Source organism: Homo sapiens, chromosome 11, assembly GCF_000001405.40.
Source record: "Homo sapiens chromosome 11, GRCh38.p14 Primary Assembly".
NCBI lineage: Eukaryota > Metazoa > Chordata > Mammalia > Primates > Hominidae > Homo > Homo sapiens.
Genome location: NC_000011.10, coordinates 1,654,493 through 1,674,807, shown reverse-complemented (window position 1 = coordinate 1,674,807; position 20,315 = coordinate 1,654,493). Strand labels below are relative to the sequence as shown.

Sequence of the window (20,315 nt, the reverse complement as noted above, 5' to 3'; positions counted from 1 at the left end):
ACAAGGAATTGCCTGCATGTTCCCTGGATGCAAATGTCTCAGGAGGGGAATGTGTGTGTGTGTGTGTGTGTCCTGTCGTACGTGGGTGCTCCCCCCTGCCCTCCTCTCAATCCTCATCAGTGCCTGACGAGCTCTGGGCAGCACACCGAGGGATCCAGGCTGGTGCCTTGGGGCTGAGACTCAGGAAGATCATGTCTCCTCCCTCCCACTGAGGTCTTTGCCCAGGACCTCACTTCCTAGACGAGGAGCAGCCTCTTTCCAGGACAACCCAGAGTGGAAAGGTCCTCCTTGGGACAATTACTCCAGAACTCAGGCGGTGGGTTTCACTCTGTCCAGGTGGCAGCTGCCTGTCCAGCTGATGAACACCCCACAGCGTGCAGAGGCCGTGCTATCCCGTGGCTGCTCTGCACACATGATTTCAGAAAATCCATAAAATTGATTAATCTTTCCCCTGTCTAATCACTAAAGAGAGAGACTGCACAAATTAGCAAGATTGGGAAAGAAGGAGATTCTATAAATATGTAAAAGGATGAAAGGGACTATTCAGAACATTCAGGTCAATAAATCTGACAACTCAGATGTGATGGATACATTTTTTTGAAAGACACGAATTATTAAAGTCACTAAAAAAATAGATAAACCAAAGAGCCCTGTATTTGTTAAGAAAATTAAACTTGTAGTTCAAAAACCTTCCGACAAAGGAAATGACAGGTCAAATTGTTTCACTGGTAAATTTCACCCAGCAGTCAACAAATAGAGAATCCTGACTCTGTACAACTTTTTCCAGGAAACCGAAGACCAGAGAACATTTCCTAACACATTCTACGAGGCTTATCCTGATACCAAAACCAAACAAAGATATCACAAGAGAACTACAGGCCAATACCCCTCATGAACATAGAGGCAAACATTTAGCAAACTGGATACAGTAATATGTACAATAATAATACATGATGACAACGTGGAGTTTATCCCAGTAACGCAAGATCAACTGAATATTTGAAAGATCAGTGCATTTCACCACATTCACAAGCTAAAAAAGAAAAGCCATATGATCATCTCCATAGACACAGAAAAAAATCTGATATCCGTTATGCATTTATAATAAAAACTCAAGCCAAATGAGAGCACAAGGGAATGTTCCCAGTCTGATAAAGGGGCGTCTCCGAAGCAGATGCAGCAGGCATCTTGCTTCCTAGCAGAAGATTGCCCGCTTTCCCCCAAGAGAAGGAACCAGCAGCAGTGCCTACTCAAAGCGTCTCTATTCTAGTTGGTGCAATGAGGCACGGAAAGGAAAACAAAACAAAACAAAACATAGATTGCAGAGGAAGAAGTAAGACAGGGTCATGGCCATCCCTGTAGAAAATCTAACAGAATCTTCTAGAAAGCTACTAGAACTAATGAGTGACTTAAGCAAAATAGTAGGCTATAAGATCAGTATACAAAATCAGTAGTCAGTAATAAAGGGATAATTAACCCCATTTAAAAAATGATAGACATGTCTCCAAAGAAGAGATACAAATGGCAAATAGCACAGGAAAAGGTGTGGCATGTCACTACTCATTAGGGAAGCACAAAACACACTCACAGTGAGGCATCATTCCACACTGTCTCTGGAACAGCGTCAGTGAGGCCGATAATCCGTGTTAGTGAGGACGTGGATAAGTTCGAACACTCCTATGTTGTTGGCGGGAACACAACATGATTTAATCGCCTTGGAGAACAGTTTGGCAGTTCCTCAAAATGTTAAACATAGATGTATCCTATGATTTAGCAATTCTACTCCACCCAAGAAAAATGAAAACGTGTCCACACAAAAACATGTGCACAAATGTCCACCATGGCATTGTTCTAATAGCCACATGGAGGGAGCAGCCCATGTGTCCCAGCACCAATAAATGGTTTCACAAAACGCAGACTAGCCACACAATGGGGTATTTCTCAGCTATAAAAAGAAATGAAGTTCTGGTCACCATGACGTGCATGAACCTTGAAACCTTGCGCTAAGTGAAAGAGGCCAGACACAGAAGGATGAACATAGCAGAACCCGATTTGTATTCAGCAGAGGCAAAGCCGCAGAGAGGGAGGAGAGATCAGTGGTGGCCAAGGCCAGCGGAGAAGCTCAGCGGGAGGAGTAGGGAGTGACTGCTGATGGGTATGGCTTCTTTGAGGTGATAAAAATGTTCTAGAATTACATTGTGATGGTGGTTAGAGCATGGTGACGGCTGGACAACTCTGCGAATATATGAAAAACCACCGAATTGTGTACTTGAAGTGGGTGAAGTGTGTGATATGAGTTTTATCTTCATGAGGCCACTAAAAATCAATTGCATTTCTGTATTACAGCAGAAATTGAACTCAAATGCCATTTAAAATTACAGAGAGAACATGAATCCTTACGAATAAATCTCACAAAAGATGTACGAGATATGCTAAGAGCACGGCTGGGAGAAAGTCAAGGTGAATGAAATAAATGGAGGTGCGCACCACGTTCACGGGTCAAACTCTTGATATTGACGGGATGCCACGTCTTCCCAAATGGGTTAATGAATTCAGTACCATTGCAATCAGAATCCCAGAAGCGCTTCTTTTCTCTTAAGAGAAATTCCCATGTTGATTATAAAAAATATAAGGACATGCAGAGGACCTAGAATAACCAAAAGAATCTTGAAAAAGAGAAAACAGTTGGAGGACCAAAGATCTGTGATTTCAAGACTCGCCGTGAGGCTACAGTCATGGAGACAGAAGGGGATTGGTGTCAAGAGAGACAAACGGGTCAGCAGAACAAAATATACAGTATGAGGAGGGGATTTTAAACGACGCAACCGCTTTGAAAAACAGTTTGGTGGGTTCTTAAACGGTGAGGTCCACGCTTTCCATATGACCAATTCTACACCTAGGTATTTAGCAAGAGAAATGAAAGCATTTGCCCACGAACGCTCACAGCAGCTATGGGCGAAGTCTCCCGGGTTTGCTTCTGGATAGGATGAAGGAACTTAGCAAGTCCTCTCTGTCTTTCTCTCTGTTTCTCTCTTTCTCTCTGTCTGCCTCTCTCGACAAGCCTAGCTTTCCAGCTGACTGTCTTGTTGCAAGATCCTATTTTGAATATTAAAAAATGAATGTCAGCTCTCTTATGATGATTAATTTTATGTGTCAATTTGGAAAGTGTATTTAGAGGACATTAACTTCATTTATTTATTTTTTTTGAGACGGAGTCTGGCTCTGTTCCCCAGGCTGGAGTGCAGTGGTGTGATCTCGGCTCACTGCAGCCTCCACCTCTACCTTCTGGGTTCAACCGATTCTCCTGCCTCAGCCTCCCGAGTAGCTGGTATCACAGGTGTGTGCCACCATGCCCGGCTAATTTTTTGTATTTTTAGTAGAGACGGGATTTCCCCATGTTGGCCAGGCTGGTCTCAAACTCCTGACCTCAGGTGACCCGCCTGCCTCGGCCTCCCAAAGTGTTGGGATTACAGGCATGAGCCACTGCGCCCAGCCTGAGGTTAACTTTTAAATGGATGAACTTTGGGTGAAGCATGTTGCCTTCTGTAATGTGGGTGGCCTCTTCCGATCAGTTAAAGTCTTGAATACAGCAGAAAGCCAGCCTTCCTGAGCAAGAGAGATTCTCCAGCGGACGGCCTTGGGACTTCATCCGCTCCACGGACTCTGCTGGGTCTGCAGCTGGCCAACCCACACTGCCTGCACTGCCCACACTGCCCACACTACCCACACTACCTACACTATCCACACTACCCACACCACCCACTCTATCCACACTACCCACACTACCCACACTGCCCACATTACCCACACTGCCCACACTATCCACACTACCCACACTATCCACACTACCCACACTGCCCGCACTGCCCACGTTACCCACACTGCCCACACTATCCACGCTACCCACAGTACCCACACCACCCACACTATCCACACTACCCACACTACCCACACTATCCACACTACCCACACTACCCACACTGCCCATGTTACCCACACTACCCACACCATCCACACTGCCCACACCACCCACACTACCCACACTGCCCACACTATCCACACTACCCACACTGCCCACACTACCCACACTATCCACACTACCCACACTACCCACACTATCCACACTACCCACACTACCCACACTACCCACACTATCCACACTATCCACACTACCCACACTGCCCACACTACCCACACTGCCCACACTACCCACACTATCCACATTACCCACACTACCCACACTGCCCACACTACCCACACTGCCCACACTACCCACACTGCCCACACTACCCACACTGCCCACACTGCAGATGCTGGACTTGCAGCCTCCATTACCCCATGAGTCCCCGCCTTATAATAAATCTCCTTCTCACTTTATGCACCCCCCTACCCCCAGTTCTGTTTCTCTGGAGACCCCGACTCAGCTACTGTGATCCCAGGGAAAGGGAGCCTCAGAGAAAGGAACCCTGTGTCCACCGGGCTTTCTCTCCAGGGATTTGCTGACACCTCCACTGTGCATGGCTGGGGTGAGAAGCCAGGCAGAAAACAGCTGCTTCGAGGCCAGAATTACAGGTAAAGAGTTCAGCATCCTCCCCTTTGTGGGGGAACTGTGGAGCACGAGGCCTTCCAACGAGAGGCCCTGGCGTCAGCACAGACCACGAGAGGGCTGGGCTCAGGATCAGCGCCACTGAAGGACCCTGCCTGCATGGAGGCGCGTGATCCAATGTTCTTTCCTTGCTGGCAGCAGAAAATGTTACTGGCTCCGAAGGAAGATGACAACATCCTGCCTCTTTGCTGAAGTACGTGCACAGCATCCAATGCACCCAGGACCTCTCAGGGCGCCAGACCCTGGCTCTGTGCTTCGGTTGCGTGACTCGGGCAAGCTTCTCATTTCTCCCGCCTTAGTCTCCTCTCACCTCACAGGGCTGTCATGAGGCATGCTGGGCACATGCAGCTCACAGAGAAGGGCTGGCTTCCTCCTTGCACCCTCGCTTCCCTCCTTCCTCTCTCCAGCAGGCAGGCTGATTGTGGAGATGTCTCCTGGGCAGCATGCGTCAGCAGGGATTTCATGGGGACGGTGAGAATTAGCATCCACTCTTGCGGGCGTCAAGTCACTGAAGGACAAATCCCCGGAGGCAGAGGAGGCTGTCACCCTTTCCCCAGGACTCCACATCTGTGGCTGCTGGTCCCCCAAAACCCTGAGAGTTAATAATCCATGCCTGACCTAGGGCAATGGAACGAGGTCTTATCAGGAAAAGCAGGCAGGTCCTCTGCCTTCCTAAAAATTAATGTTTTATCATCAGACTATGAACATGATAATTTTTAAATCTCGATGCTGGAGATCACAGGAAAACATTCTCTCAGGGGCAACATGGAAATCGCTGCTTTGCACAGGGTGACCCAGCCCACACTGTCAATCTGGTGAACTCCCTCACTCTACAAAGCCCACCTCAAATCCCCCCTGCTCTCTGCACAGAAAGCCGCAAATTGTTTCCTGCAATAAAGAGCCTGACTCCGTTTTTATGATGTTTGACGGCTCACTGCTTTGACACCTCACCCATCCCTCTTCCCGTGTGCCCCACAGCAGGGCAGGTGTCTTTGGTGCCAGTGAGAGGCTCAAGCCCTGCAGGCTCCTGCCCATGTGAGGCCATCACCCCACCCCCGAGGCATAAGAAGAGCCCCACGCCAGCTCCCTTCCTGAAGCCACCGTGCACCCCGTGAAAGCCCAGCTAGGTAAGTACCAGACCCTTTCATCTCGTCCCGGTGTGTGGGGGCGTCTTCAGGGTTGACGGAGGAACCACATTTGGGTGGGGTCCCTCCTCTTTTTCCAGAGTGACCACAGCACTCCACTATTTCTTCTTTTCTTTCTTATTTATTTATTTATTTATTTATTTTTTTGAGATGGAGTCTCAGTCTGTTGCCCAGGCTGGAGTTCAGTGGTGCTATCTCTACTCACTGCAGCCTCTGCCTCCTGGGCTCAAGTGATCCTCCCACGTCAGCCTCCCGAGTAGCTGGGACTACAGGCACACGCCACCACACCCGGCTAATTTCTGTGTTTTCAGTAGAGATGGGGTTTCACCATGTTGCCCAGGCTGGTCTCGAACTCCTGACCTCAAGTGATCCATCCGCCTCGGCCTCCCAAAGTGCTGGGATTACAGGCGTGAGCCGCCGCGCCCGGCCAGCACTCTCCAATTTCTGATCCAACTGCATTGTCATACAGAAATCACACCTTGATCGTGTTTACAGACTCATTTCTACGCATAGATACATGTCTCTGATTCCATGCACTGCAACGGTCATTGCATTTAAAAAAGAGGCAAACGCCAAGTCTCCCAGCGCCTTGGAAGACTCAGCCTCTGGGGGCTCCATGGTTTCTGCTTGAAAGGCCGATGGCTGCTTTGCAGAGAACCAGTCCTGAGACTCATACCTTTCTATTCCGATGAGAGAACATTTCTGCACAAGAACCTAGGTCAGGGTTCATGTGTCTGTCCCTTGCGTTCTGCAAAGGACCGGATCATAAATGGTGCAGCTCTGGGGGCCACCCGGGCCCTATGGAAGGAACTTGTCCCTGCCGTCGTGGGGGATGCAGCTGCACATGGCCTGTGGACGTGCTCCAGGAAGGCGCCTGCGGGGGTGGCTGTGAACTCCCGCTGTCCCCAGCACATTCCCTGTTGACACATCCTGGCTGGGAGATGTCTCCACAATCAGCCTGCGTGCTCCGAAGTGAGGGGGAGAGGGGAAGGAGGGAGGTGAGGGGGCAAGGAGGAAGCCATCACTTCTCTATGAGCTGCGTGTGCCCAGCAGGCCTTGTGACAGCGCTGTGAGGTCGTGCACGTGAGAAGAGACTGAGGCGGGAGAAATGAGAAATAAAAACTGAACATGAGTTCAATTCATCTTGCGTTTCCTTCAGGACAAAATGTGAATTTCATGTCAGTAGTTTGTGCAACCAAGTCCTCTTTGTCCTGTGACTTTTATTCAGGCACTGAACAGTGTAAACTGATTCACACCTTCTGGGCTGCACCACCACAGGGGCCAGCAGGCCTGGGTCCCCCCACCCACCTGGAGTGAGGGGTGCAGTTAGGCCGGCCGGGCATGGTCCCTGCAATCAAGTCTCTAGAGCGGGGGTGACGGCCACGGGGCCTGAAAAGCGGTTCCATAGTGTCTGCAGCTTCTGAGCACTGAGGGATGAGCCCACACACGCATCACAAAACAGCCACAGTGACCTGACCCACACTGTCCAGACGATGGGGCCACATAGGATTCCCACAGTGGGAGATGCTGACCTGGACAAGAGAGGGCAAGGGACAGAAGCTCCCAAGACCCAAGGTAGGGCCCTGCGGGCAAAATGGCCAAGAGCCGCCTTGCACCGCAAATGGGCCCTGAGGTCCAGGGCTGCAGGAGCAGGGTGGGGAGCCCGGCCAGATGGAGGGGCAGACACCGGCACCCGCTGCCTACGTCACCGCCCTCAGTGCCGCCCACAAGCGGGTGCCCCACTGGGTCCCGCCACCCCAAATCCCAGTACCAGAGCCGGGCCCGGCTCTGCCACCCCTGCCACCCTGTGTGGCACCCAGGCCCTGCTGGCACAAGGCCACGGCTAATCTGCTCTCAGAGGAAGCTGAGGAGGCAGCCCTGCCCTCGGTGTTTCCCAAGCCCCCTTATCCCAGCAGATTCTTCTCGGGGAAGATAAGCTCCCAGCTTAGCCAGGGCGGGTGGGAAGTCAGAGCTGCTTCCTTAATTGGCATTTTCCAGTTGAGAGCACATTCTCTACCTTTTTCACTTGGATCAGCTAATTGCCAAATGTTTTCATTTTTGAGAAGAAGTAAAATTGCAGAGATTTGGGATTTAGGGAAGGAATGCAAGGATCAATTTTGCCTAATTACGAAATGTCTCGGCGGTCACTGTGACGGGTCCCAGAGTCGGCCGTGTGGACCCCGGGGCCTCCCGGGCGGTGGGGGGCCGGGGGCTCTGATGCAGATGTTTACCTGATGTCGTGGGCCTGAATCTGGTTTACATTGGAAATCAGACTGTTTACAGGCCAGCACATCTGCCTCTTCCTCTGGCTCTCCTTCATTCTGCTGTAATGTTCTGCAGGTCTCGCTGGGGTCTCTGTGGGAATATCTGTGACACGGAGTGAGCCAGGCCAGCCCGGGGCGGCCCCATCCGGGGACAGCAGCTCACGGCCTGGCCCCGCGTGCGCAGCCGGGGCCTGGGTTGGCGGTGGAGATGGGGAGGGTCTGGGGCCCCTGGGTGGGTGGTGGGGGTACCGTCAGCCCGGCTGCAGGGTTCCAGCGGAGGACAGGGAGCCTTCTCCATCCCTGAAAACCATCGCGGGGACAGTGGACTCATCAGGATGCCGGGACCCTCTAGTGTGTTCTGGAAGCAGAGGCTGGGTGTGGGCACGGGAACCTGTGATTGTCCCCAGACACCGAGAGGTCCACAGGACCCCCAGTGCCCAGACCCCGGCTGCAGATCGGGGGGTCCAGTCATGTGTCGGGGAAGGAGGAGAGGAGCAGGGGCCACAGACAGGGGGTCCAGGAGGGCAGGGGGTCCTGGAGGGCAGGGGGTCTAGGAGGGCAGAGGGTCCAGGAGGACAGGGGGTCCAGGAGGGCAGGGGGTCCAGGAGGGCAGAGCCACAGCAGGCTGGGTGCTGCTGCTACAGGGGGCTTCACCCCAGCAGCCCCCTGCACTGCCCCTCTGACAGCCTCCACCTTTGACCCCCCAGAACAACGGGCTGCTGTGGCGGCTCTGGAGGCTGCGGCCCCAGTCATGGGGCCTGCGGCTGCCATGGGCTGAGACCCTGCTGCTCTTCGTGGAGACACTGATGTCCTTACCAGATCTCCCGGGCCCGCCCTCAGCCTCCAGGCTGACCAGGCTTCCTGGGCCTCCTAGGACACAGCCCTGGGTCTCCTCCTCTAGGATACTGGATGGGAATCTGCGGCTTCCAACATCCACCTGCCGGCCTTTCCCTCTGCCCTGTCCCCTTGCTGCCATGGCCGCCTTTGTCCTCCCTGGAGATTCAGAGAGCAGCCCCGTTCTCAGTTACCTGGCCTTCTGGGTCCTTGGGAGGTTCTGACCTCTTCCCAGCAGGGGCCCTGGGGGCTGCGTCCTGCCTGGTCCAGGCCTTCTCACCCTCACCTCCCTCTGGGCTCAGGGAGCTGGGGCCACACAGCCCAAAGAGGCTGGTCTGCCCGGGACAGGCCACCCTCCTCCTACCAGTGCCCTCCCTCCTCCGGCAGCCACGCTACCTGCCCTTCCTCCCCACCTGCAAAGCCTCCTGCCAAGCCTGACACCTGGGGATTCTGTCTCCCACACTCCAGGGGCCTCCTCCACATGTCAGTGACCTCTGACCGCTGTTTCAGACCCACAGCTCTTGGGTGCACTCAGCCTTGGGTCCCGATGGCACCAGAGTGTTCCACGCCTGGGGCAGCACACTCACTGCAGATCTGGCCTGAGACTCAGCAGCCGGGCACCCCATGAGATCTACTTTCTGAATGGCGTCGTCACCTGACTGGGCATACAGGCCACGGACCCCATGGTCATTTGGGCACTGACCCCTCTCACACCCCCCAAATCCCACCTGAGAGCAGCCCATCAGGCAGGCCCCATATATTGGATGCCTCTAAGTATCAGCCTTGATGTCCCTCTAATTCCAGCCCTGGTGTCTTCTCCCTGGGACACCCTGCTGCTCCCTCTAGCTGTGCCCTCCACGGTGACTCCAGACATGCGGATTCAGCCTCTTCGCTCCAGGACCAAACTCCTCAGCAGCTCCCACTACTCCCAGCATGCCATCCAGCTCCTCAGCCCAGCAGCAAAGACAGGCACAGAATGGCTCCCGAACCCATCGCTCCGGTCTGGAGAAGGAGCCCTCCACCCTCCACGCTCCATTCGCTGTCCCCTTGCGGGCCCCTGTGAGGAACCCCGGCCAGAGGCACCAATGGCCGCCACTGACTTTCACCCTGTCTTGAATCACAGGACCAAGGAGGCTGCCCCGACAAGGGTCGCTTCCAGACTCACTCCCTGTCAGCCACTGCCACATGCCTGCCGTGGGCAGCATTGGAGGACAGGGGGTACTCTGTCAGTCAGCCTAACAGGCTGGTCCGTCCTTCCTTCCTTCTTCCCTCCCTCCATCCCTCTCTCCCTTCCTCCCTCCCTCACTTCCTTCCTTCTTCCCTCCCTGCCTCCTCCCTCCTCCCTCCCCCTTCCCTTCCTTCCTTCCTTCTCTGCTACCTCCCTCCCTCCTCCCTCCCCCCTCCCTTCCTTCCTTCCTCTCTGGTCAAATGCGGGTACATGAGAGTTCCCACCATCCCCATGGTAAGTGCACAGTTCCGTGGCATTGGGAACCTGCACGTGGCTGTGCCACTGTCGCCACCATGCAGCTCCAGCACCTTTTCATCGCGCGAAACTGGAGCTCCGTCCTGACTAATCACTCACTCCCATCGGCCTCTGTCACTGGCCCTGCTGACTGCCATTCTGCCATCTTCCTCTTGAATCTGACTCCTCTGGGGGCCTTCCATCTGTGGGGTCACAGCATTGGTCCTATTGTGACTGGCTGGCTTCACTCGGCACGAGGCTGTGAAGGTTGGTGGCGTTGCTGCAGGCGTCAGAGCACACTCCTTTTCCAGGCTCCGTAAGACCCCGATGTGTTTGTCTACCCCATTTCAGATCCCCTCACCTGCTGGGTTGTTTCCACCTTTGGGCTATTGTGACTGCACGGCTGTGAGCATGGGTGTCTGAGTCCATTCTGTGTAGCCATAAAAGAACCTCTGTGATGGGGTAATTCATCAAGCTCACAGTTCTGCTGGCTGAGAAGTTCAATGGCATGGCCCTGGCTTCTGCTGGAGGAGGTCAAAGGGGAAGCAGACACGGGAAGAGAGATAAAGCTCAGGGATGTCTTGGCTTCAGAACAAGCCCCACTCATGGGAACAAATCCATTCCCATGGGAACTCACCCTGTATCACAAGAGGAGAATCACTCCCAGCACCACGGACTCCCCAGGGAGTCACTCCCACGACCCACACGTCTCCCTCCCCTCAGGCCCCACCTCCCTACGCTGCCACACTGGGGGTCCCGTTTCAACAAGAGTTTTGCTGGGAACAGATGCACTGACTACATCCAGGTCGTGGCAAGGGCTGTGCAAGTATTTGAGTCCCTGCTTTGATTTCTTTTGGGGATAGACCTAGGAATGGAATGGCGGCTTCGCAGGGTAATTTTGTGTTTACCTGTTTCTGGAAGGAGCACACTGAGCTGGCCAGAGCAGGCTTGTGTTTTCCTCTGTGCTCCTTCCTGCTTCCCAGGATGCAGATGAGATGGCAGGTGCCCCAGCAGCCCTCGCCAACCATAAGGCATGGATTCCTCACCTTCGGCTCGGGGAGCACAGAGACTGAGGGCCGTGGACTCGGGGTGAGATGGTGGCGCCTCCATCACAGACCCACAGACTCTGTGTCCAGCCCTTCCGGAAAGGTGACAGAAATGAAAAGTCTGCCTTATGGAAGACAAGGTTATTCAGAATTTTCGGTTCTGTATGGTCTCCTTAGAAACATTAGTAGACTTTAAAAAATGAAAATAGCCCATGTTCATTGTGAAAAAGTGAGCCGTGGCCTCCGGGGCACTGGAGCCACAGAGCCACCACGCTTTGCTTTGTTTCTCACTCCCCTACTCTCCCCACATAGGCACAGACGCTTTCCCTGACAGCATCATCATCACCCAACTAGGGCAGCTGACCCGCGTCTTCCTCACGACGTGGAAAGTTTTGAGTCAAGGGTTTTCATGGCCATGAGCCACGTGGAGGCTGTGCCTTTTGTTTCCTGTGAGAAATCTTCAACCAGCGCCACTCTCAGCCTCCCCTCTGCCAGCGCTTCTGTGGCTGCACCTGCATTCGTGGGCTGTGGCTGCGAAGCACAGGAATAATTGATGGCTCGTGGGGCACTTTGCTGGGCTGCTTCCAGAAAAGTTGACCCCTCCCTGCAAACCAGCACTGCCCAGCATTCTTGTCCCGCCAAGACTGACTGCGAGCTGTTGTGGCGTTGCCACTTTGCTTGGAAAGGACCCCTTATCTTTCATTTCCCTTGCATTTCTTTCAATTCTACCATTGACCATTTCTCATACGTGTGGTCATCATTGTATTTCGCCCCCATTTTGTGAGGTTTAGTGTATTCTTAAAGTTTCCTGGGTTTTGATGAGAGCATATTCTGTCATTATATTTAACAGGTGTTTTCCCCAGCTTGGATGTGTTTGGCCATTAGCTTCTTTTCTGCTATTTTACACTAGTCTGTTATTCTTCACTACAAAAGGACTCTGCCAAGGGTCCCCATGCTCCCCATGCTTCGGGGTGTGAGGTAGCAGGGGAAGGCAGGTGTCCTTCCTTCTTTGAAGTGTGGGTTGGGGCAGGACAGCAGACCCTGGGGTCACTGCTGAGGAGGGGAAGGATGGGATTAGGACTGTTCTCTTCCTGGCCTCACGAGCTCCCCCAGCTCCTTCTTGTGGTTGGAGAAGAAACCTCCTGATTGTCACGGAGAGTGAGTTTGTCCGTGGAGCTTTTCCTGCACAGCTCACATAGAACGGGCTGTGAGGTCCCTCCACTGAGCAGCACGTGCCAGGCCGGGTGCCCACGACTGTTGGGAAAACCCAGGCCTGTGTTCCAGGAAGCAAAGGTCTTTAGATGAAGGTTTTAAGAATGAAAATTAACCCACAGAATGGTGAGGTCAGTTGGAGCCTGGATTCCATGGGGTAAGGCAGCCACAGCCAGGTGGGCAACCCCTTGGCATGCAGCAACAGCCCGGGGCCAGGTGTGGGCGAGGCTTGGGATTTCCTGGCACAGCTGACTTCATGTTGTGGCCTGGCAGCCTCGGGTGGTGTCGGCAGATGCAGGAAGCCACGGGCGCAGCACCCTGCCTGTCCTGGCCGTGGGTGCTAATGCAGAGTGGGTTCTGTGGCTGGTCACACAGGCAGCCGGGTGGGTGCAGGTCATCCCGGGGATGGCCTTGCACTGTCTGATCCCCGGGGAGGGGAGGGTCTTTTCGCTGACCACGCTGTTTGCTGCGTGCTTTTTGTTTGCCAAGGGCTGCAATGTTTGTCGTCTGCTGCAGTGTTTGCTGCCGGGTGAAGAATCGCTGGCCCTGTGTTGTCACACCTGGGCCCACCGTGACAAGGTCCCCACCTCTGTTGTGGGACTCGGGGGCAAAGTTCCCTGCTGTTCACGCTGCAAGTGACAAGGGCCCTGGTCTCTGAACCAGGAGCCTCTGAGTCCTGCCCCACAGGGCTGAGCCCTGGCTGGGAGCAATGTTCTTTGGGGGAGACAGCAGCTTCCTCACTTCCATGTACAGCCAGATGCCACGGGATGTGGGGAGTGCGACAGGGCTGTAGGGAGTGGGACAGGGCCGTGGGGAGTGTGACAGGGCCGTGGGGAGTGTGACAGGGCCTTGGGGAGTTTGACAGGGCCGTGGGGAGTGGGACAGGGCCGTGGGGAGTGTGACAGGGCCGTGGGGAGTGTGACAGGGCCGTGGGGAGTGGGACAGGGCCGTGGAGAGTGGGACAGGGCCGTGGGGAGTATGACAGGGCCGTGGGGAGTGGGACAGGGCCGTGGGGAGTGGGACAGGGCCGTGGGGAGTGGGACAGGGCCGTGGGGAGTGGGACAGGGCCGTGGGGAGTGTGACAGGGCCGTGGGGAGTGGGACAGGGCCGTGGGGAGTGTGACAGGGCCGTGGGGAGTGGGACAGGGCCGTGGGGAGTGGGACAGGGCCGTGGGGAGTGTGACAGGGCCGTGGGGAGTGGGACAGGGCCGTGGGGAGTGCGACAGGGCTGTGGGGAGTGCAACAGGGCAGTGGAGAGTTTGACAGGGCCGTGGGGAGTATGACAGGGCCGTGGGGAGTTTGACAGGGCCGTGGGGAGTATGACAGGGCCGTGGGGAGTGGGACAGGGCCGTGGAGAGTGGGACAGGGCCATGGGGAGTATGTTTATTGGTACCCATGAGACAGTCATAGACTGACATTCAGCTTCTAAGCAGGGTAGGGTCTCCAGCCTGACACACGTCTTCGTGGTCACCCAAGCCCCCGAAGGCAGTGTTCTGTGCTCATCATCCCTCTGCGCCTGTGGTGACCCGCACAGCTCACCCCGTCCAGCTTAACGCCCTCTCTCCTCTCACCTGCTGCCCCTACCCTCCCGGCTGTCCCCTGTGTAGGCTTCGCAGCTTCTCCGCGTCCATCAGCTCTGAGGCTCCTGGAGGCCTTCTCTCTTCTCCTTCTCCCCCTCCTCCTCTCCTTCCCCTCTCCCAATCTCCCGCTCTCCCAGTCTCTTTACACAACATCTGTGCACCAGAAATTTTAAATATGATCCTGCAGTCCCTAACTGTGCCCAAGGGGCAGTCTCATCATGGGCTGTGTTCTGCACACCTCCTGGCCGTGTCACAGGCGTCTGATCTCGGCATACGTATGATGCACCTTCTGATTCGACCCACAGCCTTTACCCTTCTGATTGCTGGTGCCACGCCCCATTGTGAGAAGTCAGGAGTCACATCAGAAACTTGCTTTTCCTCAGCGGCACCTCCTGCTCGTGACGGGCCCTGTTCCTTTCCCCTCAGAGACGTACCTGGGATCCATCCTGGCCTCTCAGTCAGGGCCGACTTCCCCACCCCAGTGTTTGCTACCATGATTGTGACCTGTTCTAAGCTGAGTTTCTGCAGCTTTGCCGGTCACATGCATTCTTTCCTCCCCAAGACAACCCCTCATCACACAGCAGAGACAGTGGTCACTGAGAACATGGTCTGCCTCCCATCTCTCCCCTTTGTGGGCACCTCAGTGGCCTCCTGCTGCGCTCCGAACAAAAGCAAGAGACCCTGCTGAACCTGGGATGGGTTGGTAGAAGATGGGCTCCCCACGGGACCCGGGCGGGGGACAGCCCCCTCAGCCTCACGGCTTCCCAGACAGAGCGAAGGTGTCCTTCCAGTCTCTCCACATGTCATCTTAAATAAAGTTAGTTAATTCCATGCCTGTGGTTCTGAACCTCCTTTGTCTAATTGCTTCTGGTAATTCCATCCTCCAGCCGCCGCGGCAGGGGAACATTAAGTGGGGCTACCAGGTTTTGTGGGTGTTGTTTTTGTCCTGGGTGCCAGTCCGCGCATGAACAATGTCCTTATCTGATGGGAAGGGGCTGCTGCAGCCACAAGCACAGGCCCCCGCCCCGCAGACAACGCGGCTTCCTTTTCCTGACTACACTCGACCGGAACACACCAAACACCAGACACCTGCTCTCCGTTTGTGAAATGCTCAGCTCTTCTTTTCTATTTCTTTAATTTATGTTTTTTGGGTTTTTGTGGTTGTTGTTGTTTTTGAGACGGAGTCTCGCTCTGTCGCCCAGGCTGGAGTGCAGTGGCGCGATCTCGGCTCACTGCAAGCTCCACCTCCCGGGTTCACACCATCCTCCTGCTTCAGCCTCCTGAGTTGCTGGGAATACAGGCGCCCGCCACCACGCCCGGCTAATTTTTTGTATTTTTAGTAGAGACAGCGTTTCACTGTGTTCTCCAGGATGGTCTCAATCTCCCAACCTTGTGATCCACACACCTCGGCCTCCCAAAGTGCTGGGATTACAGGTGTGAGCCACCGAGTCTGGCCTAATTTATGTTTTTATCTTTACCAACTTCTTTCTTTAAAAAAAGTATGGTTAGAAATTTTGGTTTTCATTTTTCTAGACATTATTTTTACCTAAAAGAAAGGCCCACAATAGGCATGCATCTTTTTCAACTTTATTTATTTTATTTTCTTCAATGGATTACTTCCTTTAATTATAAAAGGAATACCCGACCATTCTTACTGGGTAAACAATAGGGGGTACAAAAATTAAAAGCGAAAAACTTCCCCCAACCCCTTCTCGTCCTGATCCTTCCGCTGTCAGTGTGAACACCTCTTAGTGTCTGTTTCACCCACTGTCTGTGCTCATGCTCATAAACCTGCAGATTTCTTTCTTATTTTTTTTTCTTTTTTTTTTGAGGCGGAGTCTTGCTCTGTCACCCAGGCTGGAGTGCAGTGGCACGATCTCAGCTCACTGCAACCTCCGCCTCCCGGGTTCACGCCATTCTCCTGCCTCAGCCTCCCGAGTAGCTGGGACTACAGGTGCCCGCCACCACACCTGGCTAATTTTTTGGATTTTTAGTAGAGACGGGGTTTCACCGTATTAGCCAGGATGGTCTCGATCTCCTGACCTCGTGATCCGCCCACCTCGGCCTCCCAAAGTGCTGGGATTACAGGCTTGAGCCACCGCGCCCAGCCTAACATGGGACGGTTGTAACATCAATATGTATATGCACCTCCTTTTTTCCATCAGCTTCCACGGTTACGTTGGATCGTCGTGAATTCGGCGGTCACCTGTTGATGGAGATCTCAGCATTTCACGTCGTGTGTTTGGCATCGTTTTGTTGTTTCTGTGACACTGAAGGCAGTGCCAGTGCCCTTGTTCATGCACCTTGTGGTGACAGGGCGCAATTCAGACTAAGGCCCAAAACAAGATGGAAGAGCCACAGGGTATTTACATTCTGAACTTAAAAGATGAAGACAAAATCTTTGTAGAAATATGGGCTGGGTGCCGTGACTGATGCCTGGAATCCCAGCACTTTGGGAGGCCGAGGTGGGTGGATCACGAGGTCGGGAGTTCGAGACCAGCCTGGCCAACATGATGAACTCTTGTCTCCACTAAAAATGCAAAAATTAGCCAGGCATGGTGGCGGGCGCCTGTAATCCCAGCTACTTCGGAGGCTGGGACAGGAGAATTGCTTGAACCCGGGAGGTGGAGGCTGCAGTGAGCCGAGATGGCACCACCGCACTCTAGCCTGGGCAACACAGTGAGACTCCGTCTCAAAAAAAAGAAAAGAAATATGGGCAAATAATACACACAGGAAACTTATATCTTACAGGAAACACTCATGGCCAATGTGCATGCAAGAAAGTTAGCAGCCATCACACAAATGCAAAGAAAAACAAAAATGAGGGGCAGTTTCTTCAGGGCTGGTGAGGGGCGGGGAAGGGCGCCACCAGTCACAGCCGCTAGGGCGACCCACTCACTCCCGGAGACTGCCTTTTTAAAATGATTCTTAGCATTGAAAGCCCTGCATCCCTGGAAATCTCTCATACTTGGGCAGACCGGGCCACTCAAGTGGCTGAGGAACATTCAAACCTTTCTGTTTTGTTTTGAGATGGAGTCTCGCTCTGTCGCCCAGGCTGGATTACAGTGGTGCAATCTCGGCTCACTGCAACCTCCATCTCCTGGGTTCAAGCGATTCTCCTGCCTCAGCCTCCCAAGAAGCTGGGAGTACAGGCATGAGCCATCACACCCGGCTAATTTTGTTTTTGTTTTTTTTTTGTTTTTTTTGGGGGGGGTCTTTAGTAGAAACGGAGTTTCACTATATTGGCCAGGCTGGTCTTGAACTCCTGATCTCAAGTGATTTGCCTGCCTCAGCCTCTCAAGCGCTGGGATTACAGGTGTGAGCCACTGTTCCCGGCCCTATTCAAACCTTTCTCAAGGCATATGTCAGCAACAAGCCCAGACCCCAGCAGCACTCACCTCACCAGCAGGACACCCCACTCAGGCAGGCTGCAATTTTCTTCCTTTCTTTCCTTTCTTTTTTCTTTCTTTCTTTCTTTCCTTCTTTTCTTTTTTTTTTTTTTTTTGAGATGGAGTCTCGCTCTGTCACCCAGGCTGGAGTGCAGTGGCACCATCTCGGCTCACTGCAACCTCCTCCTCCCGGGTTCAAGTGATTCTCCTGCCTCAGCCTCCCAAGCAGTTGGGACTACAGACAATTGCCACCATGGCCAGATAATTTTGTGTTTCTGATAGAGATGGGGTTTCACCATGTTGGCCAGGCTGGTCTCTAACTCCTGACTTCAGGTGATCTGCCCACCTCAACCTCCCAAAGTGCTGGGATTCCATATGTGAGCCACCATGCCCGGCCAGGCTGCAATTTCCCTACATGGCCTGTGTTATTCTGTGATCCTCCTGCGGTGGCTAGAACCAAAATAAATGATGGGGGTGACGGGGACCACGTTAGTTCTCATTCGAATGACAGTGGTTTGCATTTCATATGTTAAGGTCGTGTTCACCACTGGCTCCTGAGAAGCACGATTCCTCATGTTTGAGCAGTTTCCTCCCATCTCTCTTTGGCTTTGGGTTTTGCCATGAGTGGCTTTGGAGTTTTGTCAAGGGCATCTTGGGCACCTATAGAGAAGGTTTGCTATTTTATTTGGTTTTCTGGCAGCTGATCATCTTTCCGGCTAGCACCCTTGTTTCTTTGGGGGAAAACACTTCATGTGTATAGTTTTTGTTACATGAGTATTTTCCTTCCACCACTAAAGGCGAAGAAGCACAGTCCCCCGGCCCCCAGCAGCAGAAGGCAGGTGAGCACGGCAGCCAGCCCCACTTGACAGCCAGCCCTGCTCAGCGTCCCGGATGTGCAGGAGACTGGGACCCTGAACAAGGCTGCTGCCAGGGCAGCATCTGAGTGGGTGCCAGGCATGCTCCTGGCTTCCCCAGACAGCTGTGGTCTTTTACTGGTATAACTCTGCCTAAATCATCCAGGGCCTGTGGACGCTGACCCATGGGGTTGAAGGACACTGCGGCCCCCTCCCAGTCAGAGTGGAAGTGTGTGGAGAGCAGACGACTGCCTGGATTTCAATGCAAACCGCTCAGGGCAGAACTTGCATGGACTCTACAGCTGGCCTGCAGCTGTCCCCTCGGGCACTGGACAAAGTGTCTGCACGAATGTCCTCAGTGACCACAAACCTCTGTGTTGGCTGCATGGACCCACAGCTAGAAGCGGCGAGGTGGGTCCTGCAGCTGTCAGTCCATCCCCGACAGGCGCGTGAGAAATGGCACCTCTTCCAGACTCCCAGGAACCATTCTACACCAGGGACTGGGGGTCCAGAGGCTTCCGTCCCACCCATTGCAGCCCCCCAGGTCTAACAGCACAGATCGCCCACACCTGGGTATAGGAATGACAATAGTGGAGTTGGATCAGGACTCCAGCAGCTACCGCTCCGGGACAGTTGGCTTGCTGGAGCAAATCATTGCGGTGTCTGGTGTCTGCCGGGGGGCTGAGATCTGGGCTGTGTTTGTCCCTATCCAAACAGACAGAACATTAGAATGAGGTTGTCTTTACTGCGTATCCCTGATGTTCGGGAGCCTGTGTGGGCGAGCCGTCACCTCCTGGCACTGCCTCAAGGCGGCACCACCTTGCAGGGTGCCCTGCTGGTCCAGCATGCGGGAGCCCTGGCACCCATCAACCCCAGAATGAGGCACAGCGGGCAGCTGGGGATAGAGCCCGTGGCATCCCAGAGGGTGCTGCCCAGGCATGTCCTGGCACTCTTCTACCTGGATGCCCATGCCACTCAGAGAGGGGCACCATGACTGGCTGTCCTGCTCGAGGAAGGAGGTACCCCAGCAGCACCTCATTCTGTGGTTGGGACGCATTTCCCTGGGATCCAAGGGGCTGTCAGCCCTGGGGGAGGCCCAGGTGAAGGAGCCCACTCGTGGGCCCGGCCCGCAGTGCCCCCACTGTCCCTGGAGGCCCCCTGTGCTCCAGGTGGCCCGGCAGGCTCACGCTCCACAGGGAGCTTCAGGAAGCCCCAGGAGATGAGTATGCAGGGCCCAGGGCCTTGGAGCACAGCCAGGCCTTCTCCATCCACTGAGGAACACTTCTTCCTTTGACTACAAACAATCCCTACTTTCTCCTAAATTTCTGTGGGAAAATAAACTCTTGAGTACGTGACACCAAGTGGCATGAGGCCCCACAGGGTGCACCAGACCCGAAGCCGCGGGTTCCAGGGGGCTCCTGATGCAGGAGGAATGTGACAGTGGAGAAGGCGTGTGCTCCTCAAGGAAGAAGGGGACGGGAATGGGAACAGAGGCACACGCAGGCCACAGCCCCCTACCCCCTGCCCAGCCTCAGGCCTGTCTGTGGACAGCTGCATCCGCCCGGATAACCCAGGCCCTGCTGCGGTCACAGGGAGCCCTGAAATCACAAGGCTGTTATCTTAGTTTATGTTTCCTCAAAAACAGACACTGAGCCAAAGGCTGGAGGGCAAAGCTCACGGGTTGGGGGCGGATTCGGGGAAGCGCAGGGAAGAGGGAGGAGGAGGCCAAGGAGGCCTCAGTGCAGGAACAGCTGCTGGGGACCCTCTGCAAGGCTGCAGGGGACGCCATGGTGTCCTCTGAGTTATTTCTCTTTCATTAGTACAGATTGCCCCTAGAAGGGCATTAGCCTCCCTGACTCCAGCCTTCCCCACAGGCTGGACTCCATGCTGGTGTCCACAGGTGACCTCGAGGTGGGCGAAGATG

The 20,315-nt window shown here is 54.3% G+C and overlaps 2 long non-coding RNA genes across 2 annotated transcripts, besides 2 other annotated features; one reads left to right on the top strand and one right to left on the bottom strand.

The window, feature by feature from the left end:
* Positions 615-909: a silencer, noted in NCBI's record as "tiled region #10567; HepG2 Repressive DNase matched - State 5:Enh". NCBI's record gives its function as "represses a minimal TATA promoter and a strong SV40 promoter by Sharpr-MPRA in HepG2 cells {active_cell/tissue: HepG2}" and the evidence as "EXISTENCE:reporter gene assay evidence [ECO:0000049][PMID:27701403]".
* FAM99A (family with sequence similarity 99 member A) lies at positions 6,952-9,209 on the bottom strand. Its single transcript, NR_026643.1, has 3 exons — positions 9,044-9,209; positions 8,265-8,373; positions 6,952-8,106 (listed from the first exon to the last, which is right to left on the bottom strand). It is a non-coding gene; the product is annotated as a family with sequence similarity 99 member A (long non-coding RNA).
* A 3,326-nt stretch (positions 9,210-12,535) lies between these two features.
* On the top strand, positions 12,536-14,979 carry LOC124902609 (uncharacterized). The gene is made up of 2 exons (XR_007062547.1): positions 12,536-12,726; positions 14,454-14,979. It is a non-coding gene; the product is annotated as an uncharacterized LOC124902609 (long non-coding RNA).
* Positions 19,391-19,995: an enhancer, noted in NCBI's record as "H3K4me1 hESC enhancer chr11:1676043-1676647 (GRCh37/hg19 assembly coordinates)". NCBI's record gives its function as "activates a minimal SCP1, AML or CMV promoter by ChIP-STARR-seq in primed H9 embryonic stem cells {active_cell/tissue: H9 hESC(primed)}" and the evidence as "EXISTENCE:reporter gene assay evidence [ECO:0000049][PMID:30033119]".